Source organism: Homo sapiens, chromosome 18 (assembly GCF_000001405.40).
Source record: "Homo sapiens chromosome 18, GRCh38.p14 Primary Assembly".
Taxonomy (NCBI): Eukaryota; Metazoa; Chordata; class Mammalia; order Primates; family Hominidae; genus Homo; species Homo sapiens.
In genome coordinates, this window is record NC_000018.10 from 47,567,012 (window position 1) to 47,589,027 (window position 22,016).

Below are 22,016 nucleotides of genomic sequence, written 5' to 3' on the forward strand. Positions count from 1 at the left end.
TATATTTAAATTTTTAATATATAAATTGTTATTAAATTATTATGTTATTAAATCAAAGAAGGCATTTTTAGCCCTGTTTAATAGATGGGAGAACACAGACTTAGAGTAAGCAATCTGACCAAGGATATTCCGTAGTCAGTGGTGAGGCTGCTATTTGAAACCAGGTGGGTCTGTCTCCAAAGTCCAGGCTGTTTCCTGTGAACCATGTGGTCCCAGGAGCCCTCTATTGCTAGGTTCACGGCACGCACAGACACTTTGATTCTTTAAGGTGACTGGAGGATTTCGGCTCTGCTGTCCTATATAGCTATGATGCTTGTGACCTACCAACAGGAAAACATGTCTCATGTTTGGTTGCATTTCCCCTGAATGTGAGCCTCCTGCAGACAGAGACTGGTGTGCCTAATTCTGTACTACCACCACCCTGTGCCCCTCATCCCCACCAGAGACAGTGGTACTTTGCTGGGTATATTAATTTCAGTTGAATTTATCAATGGTGAAGCTGCATTTTCGTGAACCATCCTCATTCTCAGCCCATCTTCACTGTGAACAGCAACTTGTTTGTAAGATTTACGTGCATGGGGCTGTGGAGCAGCAGGGAGTCCTAGGCTGTGGACGAACAAGGCTTGAGAGCCTCTGGGGGAATGAACCTCTGGCTTCAGTTGATTCTCCTGATTGTCCATAGACTTCAACTGTGGGTGAAGGGCATAAAGAATTGTCAGCCCAGAGCATTTTCTGTCTTTCTCCCTTCCTAGAACCCAGGGCACAGTGGATTCCTGTGTTCAACATCCTCATTGGTGGGCAGGAGACTTCCTCAGCTGATCCAACTCTCTGGGAGTGCACAAAATATGTGTCCTAGTGTCTCAGTGGATGTAGATGGCTGCTTTTGAGTACGCATTGTTACAATCATTGCTTAATATTCCAGTGGAGCCACCAATTCAATTATTGGTTGTATTTTTCTAAGTGTAGCTACACATCCCTCAGCCTTTCAGTGGAGGCACTAATCTCACGGGGCTTAAAGAGATTCAGGATGTGTGTAGTGTCAGTAACAGGGTCAAACTGGGTGGGTGTCTACCTATTAACCTTCCATTTTGGCAACCAAATGGCCATATCCAGCACATAAGGTGGGCCCTGGAACCTGTCACTATTAATATTGTCACTGATACAAGGTGACTGGGCTCATCTAAGCTATTTCAATAACAATATCACTATTGTTCAACCATAGAAGCAGCCAAATAAGATGTGAAGACTAGGGACCTGTTAGGATTGGGAAGCAGAGAGGGGATGGGAGAGAGGTTAGGGTCAAAAGTCTGTGTAGTGAAACGAGTTCTGGGCTAAGTAGAGTGGGTTAAAGGGCTCTGGGAAAAGCCTCTTGCATTTATGTTGTGCATTCATTCCAGCACACATCATTCATTCATCCAACAAGCATTTATTTGATTCTTAGGATGTTCTAACCCAATTTTAGGGATTATGCAGGGATATAAAAGGAATAATATTGCTTGATCTGCAAGTCTAGTTGGACAAGAGCACAAACAGTCATAACACAAGGGAGAACATGTTAAGTGTCCTAAGAGCAGCATGCACTGCAGCGTGGAGAGTGTTCCAAGAAGGGACAAATTGCTTCAGCAAGAGGAAATCATAGAGGACTTTTCAGAGGATTCTAAGGAAAAGATGTTTGCCTTAAAGAGCAACTGAAAGTGCTCTACAAATAGCGGGTATTATATTTTATCTTCCCTGCCCACAAAAATGGTCATAACACCATCCCCGGTTGGAGTTGATTCTACCCTTTTTACCAGAAGCACTGACCTCGGTAACTTTGGCAAATATCCTAGACACACATACACATACACAGACACACACACACACACAGAGAGAGAGAGAGAGAGAGAGAGGTAAGAAAACACCCTGGATGGGAAAGGGCTGTACATGTGAGGATAGATCCCTGAGAGAATGTAGCCTCCAGGCTCAGGCTTAGCAGACAGTCCCAGGGCTCTGAGGCCATAGTACCTCTGTTCCTGGACCTTCCAGGCTCTAGCCATGGCCAGCTGTGTCCTAGAGTCAGGCTGTTTGGCCATTAGAGAAAGTAGGGCAGGAGATGACCAGTCAGCTGTGTCTCCATTTTTCAAATGAGAAGATAAGGGCACAGAGAAGTGAAGGAGCTTGCCTGGGGTTTTGGGATTTGAACTAGTTTCAGGTTTTAACAATTTTTTTTTTGTTGGTTTTACTCCAAAGTCCAGAAAAAGATTGGCCAGTCCAGAAACTGGATTTTAAAATCCTCTCCCTGAAATTCCCAGTCCTTCTCCTCCTTCAGCTGTTGTGAGTCCTCCCTGTGATCTCTTCCAGCCCCCATCAACACCCAGCCACTGGCACATACTAGGGAGGGAAGTCATTGTGCTTCCCTCCCCAGTGCAGGGTGCCATTTACACCCGTTCCACAGTGTGCCCACCCCTCGCAGCTCTTGTCATGGGCCGTAGCTATGTGATTTGTGTGTGATTGTTGACAGCATCTGTCTCCTGTGCTAGACAGAAAGTTCTGTGAGGGTTGCCTCTGTTTCTCCAGCACAACTGAATGAAAAGTAGTGTCTCCTGGTCAGTGACTTTTAGGCCTCTCCATACAGAAATTCTGCCACAGAAGCCTATCTCTGCTTGTCTGGGGAGACAGTCCTACCAGAGAATGGGGTGATATAGGATCAACCCTCCTCACTGCCAGAAGGATAGGTCCTAGCATGTACACTATTGATCCAGAATGACCCATCTGAATGGTGGGAGCTGGGTAGAAGAGAGGCAGGGGAAGTGGAGGAAGCCAGGGAGATGAGGCCTGGGATATGGCAGTGTGCCAGGCTGATGGCAGAGGGCAAAGCATCCTGTGAGTGTGGGGCTAGGGTGACCATGTGCTAAAATTAGGGAAGGTCCCAGGGAATCTGGAGGGTGGCCATGCTAAGACAGGAACGACTCAGTGCGACTCAGTTTCAAAAACTTACACGAAACACTTCCTTGGGTGACTTTGAATCACATGCTTCTGTTATTAATTTTTCTGAGAATGTGATTTAGCTCCAACAGCTTTTTAAGTGCAGGGCCTGTTTTATTAAACTAAAAAGGTCATACTGGCTCCTACTGTGTACCAGACATTGGCTTTCCACATATGTTATCTTTTTAATCTTCACAACTGCTTGAGTAAGTAATATTATCCCATTTTTCAGATGAGGAAACTAAGGCTCAGAGGGGTTAAATAGCATCCCAAGGGGCTGGGATTTGAACCCATTTTGCCAGACTCCAAGACCTACAAAAGGGTCCAGGACAGGACTGGCTGGGTGAGAATATGCTATCAAGTCATGCTTATCAGCAACAGACACCTCTCCACTGTCACCCTAAATCCATCCTCGGTAATAAGTCTTGCGCAAACTTGCCTGGGGTGGCCTGGCTGGAGCAGATCCCCTGGCTGGGGTATACTCTGTGGGGTTGCCTCTCAGTGCTGTTCCAGCTAGGCTTCCATGCCAGCCTTCAGTTCAGGAGGCGCCAAGACCCTCAAGGAAGGTCCTTGCTGGCTCCCGGTTCTGCTCAGCCAGCCTTTCCAAGCGCTCCCCATTCATCAGTCTCTCACTTCCAGAAGATGCATTTGGCAGCCGTTTCTCCCTAGGTGGGGTTGGGTAGAAGTGAGGGTAGATGTGAAGGAGAGGGTGGTTCTTGCCAAAATAGTCAACTGGGCTGCTCTGGATGAGGTTACTTGTAGGAAAATCTTTGAAAAATATTCTTAATCAGATTTGAAATACATCACTCCTAGAGGAGGACTGGGATTCTTTGGACCCTGGGGAGGCACATATCTGGGCTTGGGGTCAGGATCCGGGTACCCTCTTCCCAGAAGGGAAAACTTTCTTTGAAAAGAAGGTTTCAGCTCATGGAACCATGACTGTTACCACCGGAAGAGACCTCGGTTCCCTGCTCTGTGGTGAGTGTCATTCCATTTCACTCTCATTCCATTTCACAGATGAACCCACTGAGGTAGGGAGGCCAGACCATCCTGACCTCAGGGAATTGAGGAAAACGTGCAGCTTCAAGGACCACTTCTGGGCTAGCGGCCAGAGCACTGGACAGAGACATAGAGAACAAGCCCTGTTTATTCATTAAATTGCCTGGATTTTTGTCCCAGTAGGATTTGGAGGCAGATACACTGTAAAATATGAATGGTTCCAGCACATTGTTCTCACTGTTTCTGTAAATAAAAAATACATGCCAAATAACCACATCAGGCCCAGTTGTTTGATGGCCTCTCTCCTGATACTTAATTTCATTTCACGACATAAAATAAGGAGGGCAGTGAGGTGGGGGGAAGCGGACTTTTGTCAAAGTACAGTCTCATTGGTTAACACCTGAGGGGAAATGACTGAAAAGAACTTAATTCAAAAAATGCTTTAGGCACAAAGGAGCTTCTTCCAACCAGTAAGAGTCAGACAGCTATGGAGAGAGAGACATCAATAAATAATCAGCCAGCTTAGACTTTTAAATGGGAATCCCAGCCTCAGCACCCAAAGGTAAATTACATCTTTTCCACCAGCCTCCAAGCAGGGCTTCATGCTTGTGTGGACTGGGAAACTTTGCTTGTTGCAAATGTAGCCTGACCTTTCTTTCTAACAGGAGAAATATATCCTATTCATATATATCCTATATATATGCCACATGTTCCCTTTCATACATATATATGGAGAAAGGAAAAGTGTCCATCCTTAGAAACCCCGAACAGCACTTTTGCCATCCGGTTTCACTGTGGTTTTGGTTTAAGGCACAAGTCTCCTGTACAAACATCACCTCTTGTAAATAGCTAGGGCAGGGTAGGATCTGGAGCAGGGGGAAGGAGGTGTCCAGATCCTGCCCCTGAGTCCCTGAGTCCCCCTGAGTCCCCTGAGATATGTGCCTCTCCAGGGTCCAAAGAGTCCCAGTCCTCCTCTAGGAGTGATGTATTTCAAATCTGATTAAGAATATTTTTCTGACCCTGCCCAGAAGAAACCAGCCTCTCCTGGACTTGATTTCACTTCCAAGGATATGGATTTGTCAGCGTGACAAGGGAGCAAGCCCCTTCCTGGGTGGGATTTGATCTCCACCTTCTGCTCCCTGGCCAGGGCCCCCTGCTTCCCAGGGCCTTGGTTGGCCAGCAGGTCCCGGGGCATCAATCACCGTCCACCAGTGTTTTATGAGGCCACTTCTGAACCAAAGAGCCAGCAAGGGGGTTTATGGAGCTGGCTCTTTCTGTCACAAACACTGTTTCTTATTGCTTGTCATTTTCTCCCAGACTGTTAACACCTCATCCCTCTAACAGCAAACTGCCCTGTGGGTCTTCCTTGGTGGAAAAGGCAAAGCATCCCATGAGCAAAGGCTGTTTCTCTGCCTGCAGAAAGCATACACTGCCTGGAATTTGGAGACAATGGCAGCTCTACATTCTTCTTCCTTGGCTCTTTGCTGTTGGGGTGGGTGGCTCCTCCCTGTGAGTTAGGGTCCCCATCTCAGAGTAGAAAGGAGAGCCCAGATGGGGAGAATGTGAGGTTTTTCTGGGGCTATCTTTCATAAGTGGTACAGTAAGAGAGCCCAGTGTTCTCAGCCCATGGGGCCTGCCAGGGAAGGGAGTCTGGAACCCAGGGGTTTGCCTGTCCTAGTTCACTGGCTAGTCAGAATTGAGATGTGCAGCAAAGGTAAAATACATATGGAGAGTTTCCAAGACTTAGTGCAGAAAAAGTAAAATAATAATTTTGAAATGTTGATTACATGTTGAAATGACAATAAGTTGGATATATTGGGTTAAATAAAATACAGTATTAAAATCTCATCTGTTTTGTTTTGCCTTTTAAAATGGGACTATGAAGAAAATCTAAAATTACACATGGCTCAAATTATATTTCTATTGAACACCATATGGGTCGTTTCATTATTCAAGGGGAGACACCAAACTAAGATCAATGTTTCTACCTTGTCATTCTAACATGGTTTTATAATGAAATATATAAATACAAGAAGTATATATAACATATAGTGCAATTTAATATATAGTGAAGTGATCACCTTCCACCATCCAGTTTAAGCAACAGAAAAACCCAACATATTTGAAGGACTGTGTTCCCCTCTCTGACCACACCTCTCTCCATCCCTTACCAGAGGCAATTGCCATCTGAATTTGCCCTGCCCTTATTAAATTATAATTTTTATTTTGAGAAATTATAAAAATTCAGAAAGTACCAAGAATTCCTAACAAACACCTGTGTACAGTTGTATAGCATTGATCATTGTTAACAAGTTGTCCTGTTTGTTTCTCATTAAATAAAGTAATGAGGGCATTACAGATAAAGCTAGAGCTGTCTTTTAATTGCTGGCCAGCTCACTCCACTCCCAGGTGCTCAGCTGTATTTCTGCAGCAAGGTATTAGTGTATCCTCAAATGACAACTATAAGGTCAGCCACTTAGCTGACACCAGGCCCCAGAGGGTATAGCAGAGATTCTCATGAGCACATACCTCCAAGAAAAAGCAGATATAAAAAGTAGCTGCAGGCCGGGCGCGGTGGCTCACGCCTGTAATCCCAGCACTTTGGGAGGCCGAGACGGGCGGATCACGAGGTCAGGAGATCGAGACCATCCTGGCTAACACGGTGAAACCCCATCTCTACTAAAAATACAAAAATTAGCCGGGCATGGTGGCGCGTGCCTGTAGTCCCAGCTACACAGGAGGCTGAGGCAGGAGAATGGCGTGAACCCGGGAGGCGGAGCTTGCAGTGAGTCGAGATCGCGCCACTGCACTCCAGCCTGGGCGACAGAGCGAGACTCCGTCTCAAAAAAAAAAAAAAAAAAAAAAAGTAGCTGCAATCTAGCATGGCCCAATTACTTTATGGAATCATTGACCTTAGTTGTGGAAAGGCCATTAGAAATCAGTTACAATGGAGGCCAGAGAGGCTGAGTGACTGATATGAAGTCACCAGCCAGGTATGTCAGAGCCTGGACTGCACCTGGGTCTCCCATCAAGCACTGAATTCAAGGTGAGCTCAGTTGCCAGCCGTGTGAATCATCTGAATCATGATACGCTTCACGCTAGACTTTCCAGGATAAGTGAGTGGAACTGGGGATTGAGCTTCCTAGGAGTGGAAGGTAAAGCAGAAAGCCCTTTCAGGTTGTTAAGAAACATTTTTCAAATATCTGGGTCCACTTCCCTTGACAGGAAGTCCCTACTGCTTGACATCACACGTCTTTCTTGGCTAATGATGGAGCTTCTAGCCATTTCTCTGAAGACAGCAGTGCTCACTGTCTAATCTGTAACTGGAGGTGAAGGAGCTTCGACTACATCGGAGCCAAGCTTTGTTTACATCTTCTTTTAAAAAGAAATTCTTACTAAGTGTTTGATGACATTATTTTCTTGTAATTTGTTTCTGATCTAAATTGAAGTGATGCAAATATATACGTATATTTTCCTAACCATCAGGAATATTGTTGAGTTCTAGTTTGTAGAGTTTCTACTGGAATGATACTCACCAGTGGTCTGACTCAGCCATGGAAGGAAGCCCTACAAAGACAGGTGTGAGAATAAAAGGAAACTGTTTGCCATATTCTTTTCCAGGAGCAGACAATTGAGAGGCCTGGCTCATGGATGGGTTTGAACCACCTCAGGACTGAAGATGAGCGGCTCAGTTTCACTAACAACAAGAACAGTGACAAATTCCCTGCCCGGCCCAAGCTCTGTGGTCCTTATGCAGGTAGAGTCCTCATGCTGAATGTTTGCAAGCTGACTCTTCAATAAGACCGTGAGCTCCTTGAGAAAGGAATTGGGTCTCTGTGCAGTGTATCACATCTACCTCAATGCTCTGCTTAGAGGAAGTGTTTGAAAATTTTTTGTGTGATAAATAATAATACTAATCCAGTTAAGATATACTGCCCTCGGTATGAAAAACTCTATCCCAAGGTGGAGCAGGTGAGTTGTGGTATGTGTTTTCCTTGTTCTGGACAAAGCAAAGTACTATGATACCAAAAGGGCCAAAATCAACATGGGGAGTTGTTTGCTCAGGAGGAGCGGGTGGGCTGGGGAGGGGAAGACAGGAGGAGAGAAAGAACGCACTTGTGCTGCAGAAACCTTGAAACAATCAAAGGCACAAATGCCTCTTTTTATAAACACACACTGTGAGACAGATGTTTACCCAGGACAATCCAGAGAGTAAAAGCCAGCCAAAGCCAGAGGGATTCATGCTCCGCAAACAAGGGATTTCCTGGGGGAAGGAGTGGCAGGTAATGGGTTCTACAAATTTCCCCTCCTGATAACTACATCACAGACCGAGTCCAAAGAGACCGTTCTTCCTATTGAAACCTTATTTAAATACTGCCGCCTATCTTGGGCAGAATTGCCATCGTATTGGCTGGCTTAGGCTATTCTCTCAAAGCTTTATGAAATAAACACTCGAAAAAGAAATAACCATGTCTCTGTGGGAGCAGGGGACACACCTCTCAGGGAATTTTCTTCCCAAAATGCGTCAGTAGTCAGCCTGTCCCAGTTCTGATCAGTGGCCTTCAAACAAGTAAAGATTGTAGAGAAAACAAGAGCAGTACCTCTTTAAAACAGCAAAAATACCATTTGTGCAGTGTGGATGCTTTTCAGCACGTTCATCATTATGTGACTATTTAAATGAAACAACCACCGTGATAAAAGAGACCAACACTGTGGTTGCCTTTGCAATGATTGCTATGTTGGTCCCCTCGTGCTTATGTTCTCTCTCTGGATTCTTTTCAGGCATAGCAAAGGCCTCAGGAATGGGATCAGGGATTTCAAACGCTGGTCCACACATGGCCACAGTTTTCTGTGTGACTTTGGATGAATCAAGCCCCCCTTTCTGGGTCTCAGTTTTCCCACCTCTAAAGAGACTGCATTAGATTAAATGAACCCTGATGCTTTGCCTATTTTGAAATGCCAAGTTCTTTCTCTAGGAGTGGGCATACGTTTGTGCCCAGCTGTCCATTCCTATTCACCATCTTACCAATACTTTTTTTTTTTTTTTTTTTTTTCCGGGAGGGAGGCAGGTCAGTATTTCTTGTATGAGGTCTTAAAACCAAGCAAATTCTACTGGTCCATTTTCCTCAGGTAACTCAGTAAGCCATTCCTGCGTCAAATGTGACTGACTGCGTGAAACCAGCAAACTCCATATAGTTCAGGCCTCAAGGCAAGAGCTGCTGCTAAGAGCTGGAGTACTCCTTTTCAGATGGCTGAGATTGGCTTCTAGCATCTCCATGGTGTCTAGCCAGCCATTCTTGTCCCCACAACCAGCCTGCACATCTCTTGGATTCAACTAGCATTTATCAGGCAGCTACTCTATGCCACACACTGTACTCAGGACTAGAAATATAGAGAAAAACATCAGGACTCCTTGAGCTTACAGCCTCATGCAAAAACAAGGTTCTAAACCAGAAATTCACCCCAACACAAGGTCACACAATGTGATAGAGCCCTGGGATGGTGGCTTTCAGAAAATTTTATGAAAAGCTAAAAGTATTTCTCTCCCATACTTATCTCGGAAAGAGGGGTTGTGGTTGGCAGAAATGGCATTAAGGTCAGTGAGAGGCAGGACTGAGCCTCTTGGAGAATGGCCAACCTTCCCTCCTCACTCCATGGGGGCCTTTTCACTTTCACACCATACCTGAAAGATTCAGGAGCCCCTGCCCTTCAGGTAGGAGGGACCTGGGAGAAATAGCAATGGCCTCTGGACATTTCTGGCATGTTCCATGTGGTCTGCTGCCAAATGTAGTGTGTGGTCGGACTGAGTACAGCTAGAGAGGTGGCATCTGGAGGGCATAAACAGTGTTTGCGCATGGTCTAGAGTGGAGACCAAGGAGGCTGGGGACCGGGGAGAGAAGGCTGTGCTTTGGGTGGCCCTGGGCAGGCTGGGTTGTCTGGGAGGCAGAGCAGGAAATGGCCCCATGGCAGAGCCAGATTTATTCACTGTCTGGGCTTGGTCCCAGCCGGTCCTTTGCTCAGGCTTGGTAAATCCTCAGTTCTGAAGTCATTTTTATTAGCGATTGCCTTTTTTTTTTTTTTTTTTTTTTAGCTTTGAAAATGTGGTTGGACGAAAATGAAATTTCAGATGTGTGTGTCTCAGCATTGATTTTTCTATTTGTAATAACACACCCTGGCATATCTCCTTTGATATCAAGAGGATAAAATGTCCCTAACAGCATGCTCTTCATTCTGGGGTAATGGATAAAGCCTGTTTATGAGATGTCATTTATTCCACAATAGACAGTAAATAAAAGCCATTTCAAGCTTGGGTTAAATCAAAGCTTGTTCAGGATTTCAGCAGATTTGCAAATCACCTCGGGGACCTTCATCAGTCGCAGTTGCTGTTTTCCTCCTTGCTATTGATTCTCTCCCTCTCTCTGCCAAGCCTCTTTCTAACCTTAGCTGCCCTGAGCACCTGACTGATTTGGAAAAAGACAACTGGCCTGGCTAGAGACCTAGCGTGACATTAAAAATTCCTTCCCTCAATTTGGGGAATAAAGGCTTTGAAAGGCAGCAAGAAATTGAGGTTATATCAACAAAAGCCAGAGTGGCAAAGGGAAGGAAAAAAGCCTTAGCAGGACAATAAGATGCAAACCTGAATTGGAGAAAGTGCCTGAAAGGCGGTGGTGGCAGCAGCCGCAGCTCCTTTGAGTCACGTGCAGATTGTATTTCTTTCACTTCCTGGGACCCTGTGTACTGGAGGGAGGGGGAAGAGAAGGGAAGGGGCACCACCTGAGGTGTCCCTGCACTAACCCAGGCTTTTGTCTTGCACATTCAAATTCCCGCCCTCTGATCTGACCTGTAACTCCTATGAATCCTGGCCTTTGGGACCCACTTAAGTCCCAGGAAGCCGTGTGGCCTGTCCCGTTTCCCTGGTCCCTCACAGCGTGTTATTTGGGATCTTTGACACGTTTAATCTCTCCTTACTCCTGCGTGTTCTGGAGAGTGAGTATTGGCCTCACAATTGAAACGCAGGTTCCTTTGAGGTTTGGGACAGACTTTTAAAGCTAGAAGAGTCAGTCCTGGGGTCTCTAGACCAATTTTCTCTTCACTGCTGGAATCCCCTGCATAACATCCCCAAAGACAGCAGCCCCTGCCTTCAATTCACCCAGAGTAGGTACTGCAGATATGGGAGTCTCTCAGCCTGGGAAATGTCTTCATCTATTAAGCTCAAGTTTTCCATCCTGGAACCCCAGCTCCTCTTCGGATGCCAGCCTGCCTTCCAGAGGGAGAGTGAGTGAGCCGAGTCCTAGCCCCTTACGGCAGCATTTTCCTAGGTGACCTTGGGCCTGTCTCATCTGCCTCAACCACACTCCAGCCAGAGGGCTGATTTGGTTTCAGTTTATCACTTAGCCATGAAAATCAGTACCCCAACATTTCATTGGTTAGCGTAGACCAGAAAAGTGTGTTCAAATATTTGTGTCTTAGGATATTTGTCTCATCATTCCGATTGAATATTTACTGAGTAACAGTTTTGTAGAAATAATATTCTAGGTCTGCGATAGGTTATATTATTGTTCAAAATATTTACTGCCGCCCCCCTCCCCACCGTTAGTCTGCCTTATGTGGGAGGATTATACGTCCTTGTCCCCGTCGACCATGTGACCTGCTCTGGCCACGAAATGTGAGCAGAAGTGGCAAAGTGCAGATCAATGGCTGAGATTCCATGGGCATCTCACCCACATGAGTAAGAAACCTCTGTTATTAGAGGTCAGGTGTGGTGGCTCATGCCTGTAATCCCAGCACTTTGGGAGGCTGAGGGAGGTGGATCACTTGAGGTCAGGATTTCAAGACCAGCCTGGCTAACATGCAAAACCCTGACTCTACTAAAACAACAAAAATTAGCTGGGCGTGGTGGTGCGGCCTGTAATCGCAGCTACTCAGGAGGCAGGAGAGGCAGGAGAATCGCTTGAACGCAGGAGGCGGAGGTTGCAATGAGCTGTGATCACACCACTGCACTCCAGCCTGGGAGACAGAGTGAGACTGTCTCAAAAAACAAACAAATGAACAAAAAAAACCTGTTATTAGTGAGTTTTAGTAGCAGTGAAACCTCTGTTACTAGAAACACTCAGATCATCATAATTAGACTAAGCTGATGAAAGAAGGTTCTCCAGGAAATTTCAAGAAATTCTGAGCACACTGTGTGACCTCAGGAAGCTTACAGTCTAATTGAGGAGAACCTGTCCAGTGCCAAAAACATGGTGAAAATAGTAAATGCTTCAGGAGCTCAAAGGAGGGAGAGGAGGAGGAGCTGGGTGATTCAGGAAGAACTTTTAGAGCATTAACTCAAACTGGATGAGACTCAGAAACTTCATCCACCTGCAGGACAGGCCTGCTGTTGTGGGCTCAGCTCTTCATGTTGAGGGATTAAGAGCTTGGGTATTCCTCAAGCTCTTTTTTTTTTTTTGAGAGTCTGTATCACCCAGGCTGGAGTGCAATGGCAACATCTTGGCTCACTGCAACCTCCGCTACCCAGGTTAAGGCGATTCTCCTGCCTCAGCCTTCTGAGTAGCTGGGACTACAGGCGTGCACCATCAAGCCTGGCTAATTTTTGTATTTTTAGTAGAGACGGGGTTTTGCCATGTTGGCCAGGCTTGTCTCGAATTCCTGGACTCAAGTGATCTGCCCACCTCGGCCTCCCAAAGTGCTGGGATTACAGGTGTGAGCCACCGAGCCCCGCCTATTCCTCAAGCTCTTAATTCTAATTCCCTCATTTAGGGGTGAGCTAATGAGAGAGCACATTCCATGCACCTAGCATTGTGCCAGGCCTTAAATAACTTTTCTTTCAGATAACTTGATAATGGTGAATCGATGACATCAATTGTAATAGATATTTGAAATAGATGATGTGCCCTTTTCAGTCTTCTGAAATCAAATTGTGGGAGTAACGGTCTATGGTTCTGTATAAAACCAGTCTGATTGGGCGCAGTGGCTCACACCTGTAATCCCAGCACTTTGGGAGGCCGAGGCAGACGGATCACTGGAGATCAGGAGTTCGAGACCAGCCTGGTCAAATGGTGAAACTCCGTCTCTACTAAAAATACAAAAAAAAATTAATAAATTAGCCAGGTATGGTGACGCATGCCTGTAACCCCAGCTACTCAGGAGGCTGAAGCAGGAGAATCACTTGAATCCGGGAGGCAGAGGTTGCAGTGAGCCAAGATCGCGTGAGCTAGACTCTGTCTCAAAAAACAAACAAACAAAAACCAGTCTGGATAGGGGCTGGCTCCTAGAAGTGACCGGAAAGGTCCTCAGCAGCTGAAGCCACAACTGTCCCTTTGTTCCCCTCTCCTCCCATTCCTTACCTATCTCATTTAATCCTCTCAATAGCCTTTTGAGGGAGGTGCTGTTGTTATCCCCATTTTACAGTTATAAATACTGAGTCTTAGAGAGGTTACAACTCTCACCCAAAAGCATGCATAATCGATCAGTAAGTGTCTGAGCCAGGACTAGGACAGTGTCCTGCCTGAATCCAGGGCTTCGCCCTTCACCATCCTCTGCTGCCTACAGCAGTGCAGGCTCTGCCCCCTTGCCCCCTGAGAGGGCCAGGAAGGGGGCCTCCCTGGGGGAGCTGTGATGGCAGAGTCTGCAGCTTGGCCATGAGGCTGAGTCCCAAAGATGCTGCGGAATAAGCCGGTAGTTAGAGACGCTATAGGAATTATACAGGGAAAAAGCAGCAATGTGGGAGAGAGGAGGAAGAAAAGGAGAAGGAGAGAAAAAAGGGAGGGGGAAGGCCCCCTAGGTGCCCTAGTGCCTGGAATACTTGCTCTGCGCCTCTAATTTCTCTCGAGTGGTGCCTGGGTGCGCTCTGTTACAGTTAAAGTTGTGTCAGTGGTTTCATTAGAACCCAGGCTTTGATTTATAACCCTCCCTGCAAAAATGTGCTCCTGGCTGAAAACTGGCATCCGAGGTCTTGGGCCAACAGAGCCATTTCTATAGAAGAGTTATAAGGCAGGGGCCAGGAGGGAGGTCCCTTTCTTGAGTCCGGTTTTCCAGCTAGAAATAAAAAGAAGGGGGTGGGGAGTTGTTTAGAATTCAAAAACATCAGCCTGGATTTCAGAAGGAGTTCTTAAAGGGTCAGTTTCTTCATCATATGCATGCAGAGACTTTTTTGTGAAAGTATCTAAAAACTGTTCACAGAAATGGTGCTTTGGAGTAACTCCATCTTGCAAACATCATTATGAAGAATAATTAACAATAATAATGAAGATAATGATCGTGGTAGTAAGACTTTCTTATGGGATGATGCTTTAACTTTATCATGAAGCACCCACATACATGGTCACACTAATACAGCAGCCCTGAGACAGTTGGGAAGAAATTAGTATCCCTGTTTTGTGACAAAACTGAGACCCAATCAGCTGAATGCTGTGCTTAGAGGCACCAGCCTCAGTTCAGTGGCCATCCCGCCCTAGCGTGCCATCTAAACCGGGACTTCAATAAACAAAAAAGCAAAGTAGGTCTGTGTACCAGCCGCTTGTTTCGATTTTTTTTTTACTTTTATTTTAGAAGAATACGCATCATTGGAAACAGGTCCCATTTTGAGCCACATGAGGCTTGAGAAAAATAAATGTGAAAATAAAAGCGCCGTTTAATATGGGTATCATTATTACTATTATTATTGCAAAGAGCCTATTTGGAACTGCCTGAAAACCTTAAGACTGATTAATATTTTTAGAGCATCAGAAGGTATGCTTTTTTTTCCCCAGTATAAATTCTTCTTTCCCAAATGGTTGAAAAAGCATAATCATAGTCATTATCATCATCATCATTCCTTCCACTAATGTATTGCTTCTCACATAATGTCTCATGAATTAGCACATTTTCTGCTCAAGCATCCCCATTTAACAGATGAGGAGATGGAGGCTCAAGTGCATATAGCAAAATGAGGGGGTCTTGGGACTGAAATTTGGATTTTCAACAAGCTTGCCACCTTACCACTCTGCCTCTTATCACACATGCTTTGTTGGGCAAATGCTTTGAAGCCCAAAATTGCACCAGGTCAGAAATTAGGAATAGTTCACCATCAGGAATAGAGCTAATGTGGCCAAGGCAGTCACCGTCAGGACAGACACCCCAATGACAGGCTACTCAATGTCTCACCAGCACATTCACTCTGCATGGGATCCTCAGCCCTGTCTCAGTCCCTCCCGCTGGAGCCCTGTCCCACAAAGGCCTGCCCCAGGGGCTGGGAGCCAGGCAGAGCTTCATCCCTCCCACTGAGCAAGACTTGGGCTGTCACTGTGCTGTTATTTATGAGTCCCCCTTGCCCAATGAGTGGCCTCGAAGGGGCCCAGCCTGGGCCTGCTGTCTGGCCAGACTTGTCACACATCATTAGATGTTTGGTTGCCACTGACCCCTCTGCCATCTGGCTGAGTGGCCTCGGGGTGAGGAGAGGCAGGCAGCAGCTCCTCATGCAGCCCCCAAGTCTTTGTGGCATTCAGGACATGGAAGTGTTTCAGAACTGTTGTGCTCATCTACTAAGGGGAAGACAGAACTGGAAAATAATCTCTTCAAGAGATTATTTAGGGCTTCTCTGTATTTAGGGTTTCTCACCCTTGGCACTGCTGCCATTTGGGGCGAGATAATTCTTTGTTGCCTGAGGCTGTCCTATGTATGGTAAGATGTTGAGCAGCATCCCTGGCCTCCTCCCTCTAGATGCCAGTGGCACCCCTGTCCCAGATGTGACAACCAAAAATGATGTCAGACATTGCTGAATTGTCCCCTGGAGGAGGAGAAAAATCAACCCCTTTGAGAACTGCTGGGCAGCTCTAAAGGTAAGACAAATTGGGCAGTGAGTTACTGAGCTATGACCGTGGCAGGCATGCATGTTCCCCGAACAAAAACCATTTCTGGGACAGCATAAACAGATGGCAAATATTTTATGAACACCGTGTTGCCTAATCATTGCAACCATTTATTGTATCGTTGGAATTCCTGACCCCACTTTGCAGATGAGGAAACTGAAGTTTAGAGAGGGAAAGTGATTTTCTTGAGGCCTGAGAAGTGAGAGTTAAGCTGGGTTTAAAATCCAGTTTTTTTTTGGAAGCCTCCTGCACATTGCTGCAGCCTTGTGTCCTTGTTCTCAGTGTAAGGGCTTGGCAAACATGGCATGTGGGGCCCTGAATGTTCTATGATTGCATACTTGGCCTGCGGCAGAGGATGCTCATTTTGTGTCCTCGCGCTGTTTCCACTATGTTACACAGGGCCTCTTTTTCCCCACAGCCCATCTCCCCCAGAGCTCCCCTTTCTGTGCCCTGGAGCAACCCCTTTGCACCATAACAACATTTGACCCACAGGACCCAGGGTGGTGAGAGAAAGTTAGAACCCCTCCCAGGGATGCTTACATTGTAAAAGATCCCTGGGGAGAAAAACCAAAGCAGTGCACTCTGTGATATTTCAGTCACTTTACTAGGTTGGTGTAGAACTCACGGGGCAGGGTATTGTAGAGCCCTTTAAATCAGTCTATAAGCTAGGAGATTCCATCTCTATAAAAATGAAATATTTGAATTTTAGAATATAGGAAAGTGGTCAAGTGGTTGCTACTGCTATTTTAACAATTGCATGTAAGTCTTTAATTACAACTTGCCTTAAACCCTCTCTAGAAGTAAGTGGCAAATTTGTGAACATCTTTTGTGCTTATTAAGTAAAACAAACCTATTTCCAGAGTGCCTGTCCCCAGATTTGTTTTATAGAATCTGGAGTAGGCATTAAGTTATATATAAGCCAGTAAAGCGGTCCAACCACACATATAAATTGTACAGCCTGAACTCTTCTTGACCCCTTTCCCTGAATTGCATGCCCCCTTGCTGTCTTGCAGGCCAGGAGGTCCCCAGTTGGTTCTGGTCTGGTGCAAGTTGTGGCCAAGGGTCTGGCCGATGGACTCACCTAGATTGCTTGGGCTTCTTCCCTTCAACATGGGTGATTTATCTGAGTTTCAGGGTCCACCAGCAACTCTTGCTTCCCTGATGTTGTTAAACAAATCACTTCCTTTGCCAAATAATTAATTTGATGACATTTCTAATTTCTGCTTATCTTCCCTTCAGGACATGCAAACTTCATTTTATGACCCCTGTTCCAAAGGAACACACAGGCCAGAAAGGTCATTAGATGTACAGGTAGAGTCAGGAAGGGACAGATGTTTGCACTGGAGGGATACTAGGAAGCTGGCGGCTGGCAGCCTTTTCTGCTTTTTCCAATCCACATTATTCAAGACAAGGTTTTTTGTTGTGGTAAATCTATATTTGAGGTGAAAATTATTCAGAAGGAAGGCTGAATGCACTTCCTGAAGCCAAAGAGGAGAAAGGACTATTCGTGGATTCCTGGATTGTATGAGCTATGTGATCTGGGCAGGCTGCAAGGAGGAGGAGGATTGTAGGCTAGTCTGGGGGTGGTGTGCTCACACAGATAGAGGGGAGAGAAGGTGCATTCAGGGCGAAGCCACGGGGGTGGACGGTGTTGGTGGGGGGCGTAGGTACTAATGGGAGTAGAAACACAGGGCATGTTTCAGAGATGGTGTTTGGCTGATAGGTTTGATTGTGATCAGCTGGAAGGCTGTCACAAGTCCGGAATACCAGGTGAGGCAGTGGGAACTCTGTGTTCCTGGCAGGAGAAGCAAAAGGCAAAGCTTCCTTCAGCTCCTTCCCATCCCATAACTTTTGCTTGCCACAAGACCCCAAGATGCTGCAGCAACAAGAAAGGCTACTGGATCATCAAATAAACATGTGATTTAATTAAGTAGAATTTTATAATTCATAATTGTGATGTTTTTAAAACAGGGATACTAGTAGCATCATCTTGTGCTGTTTTGTATACAACTTGGTACACTTCCTCTTCATTTATTTGGATCCCAGCCTTGTGAAATGGGAGGAGATGAACAAGTATGTGTGGATGAGGCAGAAAGGGTGGAAGTAACCAAAGCTCAGAGAGATGACACCACCTGCCCAAGACCACAAAGCCGGTCACCTGTGGGTCTTGGGGCCTGTAGCAATTGTCTGTTACTTGAATGTCAAGCTTATAGGGACAGCCCCGGATGTTGCTAGAAGGCAGAATCCAGGAAGCTTCAGGCCGTGGTAGCTGTCACCACCTATAGCCTTTGGTCCAGCTCCCTGGTAAAACACACACCTGTGGGCACCCACAGCACCCTGGGTCTGGGAGAGGGGGTGCAGGTGGTCACTCGGAGCTGAAACCCCATCAGCGGAAACACTCCACATAAAAGGGAGCCAGGGATGCCAATTTCCATTTTCATTAGAGTGGCTGGTGCTTAGTAATCCAGAAGCTTTATTTAAGGGCTGACCTCTGACCGGGCCTGTCACTCCAGTGGCAGGCGCCTGATAGTCACTAGAAATCAATAGCTGGCATGAAGGTCACTTCCTAGAAAAACTGGGGCTATCAACGTGTCAGTTCCAATGAAAGATTATAACCAACCAGCAGAGAAGTTTATCTGTGGCTGAGAGCTTATCTGAGCTGGGCTTGTTGTAGGCTGTACACATGCACATGTGAGTAGCTATGTGTGAGTGGGCAAGTGTGCATGCATGTAGAAATGTGTGCATCTGTGAAACAAAGCACACATGTGCAGGAGAGTGTGTGTGAGTGCTTTTGTGCAGATATGAATGTGCATGTGGGTGCAATCAGTGTGGATAGGTGAGCAAGTGTGTTTAAGTGCAGATGATAATGTGTGTAAGAGAGTTGTGTATTTGTGCTTCTGTGTGTACATGCATTTTCAGGTAAGTTTATGTATGTGTGTCAGTGCACATGTGAACATGTTAAGCACACACATGTGTGCGTATGTGTGGTTGGGTGTGCAGATGCCCATGTTTGTGTATATGGGTGTAAAGGTGCATTTGATAGTATGCATATATCTTACCTGGCCTAGAAGGCCTGAAATACTCTGGCCCCTGTCTACTCAACCAGTCTCTCCTCCCCTCCCTACTCCACGCTGGTCCCTCACTGGGTTCCTTCCTCTTGCCTGAGGATACAAACCATGTCCTCTCAGGACGCTGATACTTCAGGGCTTGCTGCTTCCACCAAGCAATGTCTCTTTCTCGTCTCCTGTACTGCCCCTTTCCTACCACTTGGTTTTCAAATGACATGCTGGCCTCTGAGAGTTACATTCCCAGCCATCTTGAAGGTGTTCCTACATGTATTTCCTCCATGGAAGTTACAACAACGTGTGGGGATCTCAGTTTAGTGAGTTGTTTGTTGTCTGCCCCCTCACAGGCCCCCTATCCATCTCTGCATGGCTGAGCCCTCGCTGAGGTATCTAGGGATCTCGCAAGTGTCTGACACCTCACAGGTGCTGACTCTTTGGCCTCTTTTCAGACAAGGAGAATTCTATCTGCTGAGGAATTCTACACTAGTGCTGTGAACTTAACCTCTCTGGGCCTCAGTTTCCTCATGTGTAAAATGGCAATACCTGCCCTGTCTATGCCACAGAATCAAATGAAATAAATACGATAAAAACCTCTTGGAAAGCATGAATTGCCAGGGGCCTGTCACATATTTTCATGTGGTTAAAGGCTGTTACTACTCAGAAAGAGATGTGCAGAAATGGGTGTCAATGATAAGCCAAGGAATTCCAAACAGATTCCAGAATGTTTTTTTCCATGTCATTAATTCTACTTACAGGCACTGGCGAATCCTGAGACCTTCTCAGGCCTATATCAGCCAGGATCTTCATTTATTGTCTGGATACCTGTTTCTGGAAGGCATCCTAGTCTCTTCCTTTCATAAATGAAAGGAAGGGAGAGTGAAGAGTACACTTCCCCTCAAAGAAAGAGAAAAGCAATATAAAGAATTAATCAATGCTACCCAAAGAAGATGGTTTGTTCCACATAGTTGCCATGGGAACCTGGAGCTGGATACCAGGGCTGCCTGAGCTCTGTGTTAAGTGGCTCTAGACTATGATTTGGGAGCTGGAATCTTGTCTCCACCCTACCACTGCTGAGCTGTGGGACCTCATGTCATCATTGCCTCACTTCTTGGGCCTCAATTTCCTCATGTCTAATATTAAGGAATCTAAAAGATGATAGAGAATCTCTGCTTTGCATAAGTAAAATTCCAAGTCATGTGTCCTATCTAGGTCTCAGCTTTTCTGTCTATTAAGTGGGAGTTGCCTCTTGTAAATAATTGAAGGGAAGGGGTAGAAAATGAGAGCCCGGGTCAAATGTAAGTTGTGTCTTTTGGCTTCCAGAATGTCATCTTCTTATTAAGATAAAGCCTTATGAAATTAATTCTCATAGGCACACATTCCATTATTTTGTTCATTTATTCACCAAACCTGCAATGAGCAACTGCAGCATCATGGTGCCAGGCATGATGAAAGAAGCTGAGGGTTTGGAGGTGACAAAATGCAGTCTCTGCTTTCAAAAGCTCAGGGTCTCATGCAGGAGACAGGGAGATAGCTAATTTCAGAGCAAGGAGGGACTGGCTGTAACCAATGTCAGTAATGAGTGAGTGACAGCACTTTTGAATCTCTCCTTCAGGTCATCCCTAAGTTCAGGGTGAGGAGATGACCTACCCTTCTGCCCCGCAACGCCATCCTACATCTGAAATTCTTCTTAAGGGCATGGTGGAAACCCTTACCTTTGAGATGAGCCCAGTACCAGCACTAACATATGGAACCATAGAGTTGACACTGGAGGAACCCCCAGGTTTCATTTGAGAGGACACTGGAGTTCAGCGTGGAAGAAAGGCCTGCCCAAAGTCACACAGCCCAGGGCTCCTGGCAGGGAGCCACGGCTGCTTTCTCTGCTCCATACTGGAATTAAAGGTTGAATTCCAGGCAATTTTCCAGTTCCTAGTCCCACTGGATGGAAAGTCAACACACCTGGTTCTCTCAGTGATCTGAAATCACATGCAGAAATCCACTCCTTAGTCACAAAGAGAAGTTAGTGGAAGTGTGTTTTGTTCCTAGTTATCCTCTCCAAAGGTTCAGCCCTTTGCATTCCCTTAGGAGAAAACAGGGCCTGCCCTCCTCATGTCTGTCACCTGTCCAAGATCATTCCTTCTATCATTCACCTCCCATTAACCAAAATCCCCTTCTCTAGGTACCTGGGTCTTGGACAGCTGTCAAGTGGAAAGCCTTCTGATTAACTAATACTATAATGTAAATGACTGCAAAGTTCCCTCTTGTGATAACTGAGTCCTGGACAGTGGTCAAGGAAGAAATCCTTCTTATTAATTCCCAGTAAGATGTGAATCACTGACAACTAGCTCTCCAATTGTATCGTCAAAGAGAGTGCCTGGAGGTTCAAAATGTTCGTAATTCCTTTCATTTGTTTGACAATTATAGAAGTTTTGCTCAAATCTGGGTTTAGTCACTTAGGAGCTTTGACCTTATTAAAGTTATTTAACCTCCCTGAGCCTCAGTTACCTCACTGGGAAAATGAAGATCATAATTAGACCCCAAAATATCAGGTGAGAATTAACTGGGCTCACAGCATAGCCTCTGACTGATTATAGGTGCTTAATAAATGTTAGTTCCTTTTGAAAGATAGAAGTTGCCACCCATGGAGATTTTAAAACTTGCTCAAGAGCACTGCTGGTGAGAGCTGGGTCAGAAACAGCAGTTCAGAAGCTTCTAGCAGCGTTGCAAAGTCCCTCCTGGCAGGACATCAGCATTGGTCTCATTCATTGACACATGTCTGAGGCCCATGCCTGGGTACTAGGGATATGGGCAATGTGGAGAGGCTGGTGGGCAGAGTACTTGGAGAGTGGTAGTTGCATGGGAGTAGTCACAGAAATCACTGTTTTGGGAGTCTTCAGCAGACTCCATCACTGTGGCCAAGCTGGGGAGATGAGGGTGGCTTGAGGTTGGGTTAGACAGGCAGGGCAGAGGTGTGTGGCATTGTTGATGGGCCAGGTCAACTTGGATGAGGTCTCTTGGCATGCACCTCTCCTAGGGGATGTGAGAGCTGACCTCTGTGGGGAAAGACCTGGGCTATCCATCACCTGTTTGCTCAGGGCATTATGCCCTTGTGTGAGAGGCAGCTGAGTGGCCACAGGGCCTC

General features: G+C 46.0%; 1 long non-coding RNA gene across 1 annotated transcript in view, besides 1 other annotated feature; it reads left to right on the forward strand.

The window, feature by feature from the left end:
* Positions 1–22,016, forward strand: part of MIR4527HG (MIR4527 host gene) — a 308,827-nt gene that overhangs the window by 281,288 nt on the left and 5,523 nt on the right. The window contains exon 2 of the long non-coding RNA NR_147192.1: positions 7,585–7,720. This is a non-coding gene — a long non-coding RNA (MIR4527 host gene). The remainder of the gene's footprint in view (positions 1–7,584; positions 7,721–22,016) is intronic.
* Positions 15,315–15,815: an enhancer, noted in NCBI's record as "H3K4me1 hESC enhancer chr18:45108697-45109197 (GRCh37/hg19 assembly coordinates)". NCBI's record gives its function as "activates a minimal SCP1, AML or CMV promoter by ChIP-STARR-seq in naive H9 embryonic stem cells {active_cell/tissue: H9 hESC(naive)}" and the evidence as "EXISTENCE:reporter gene assay evidence [ECO:0000049][PMID:30033119]".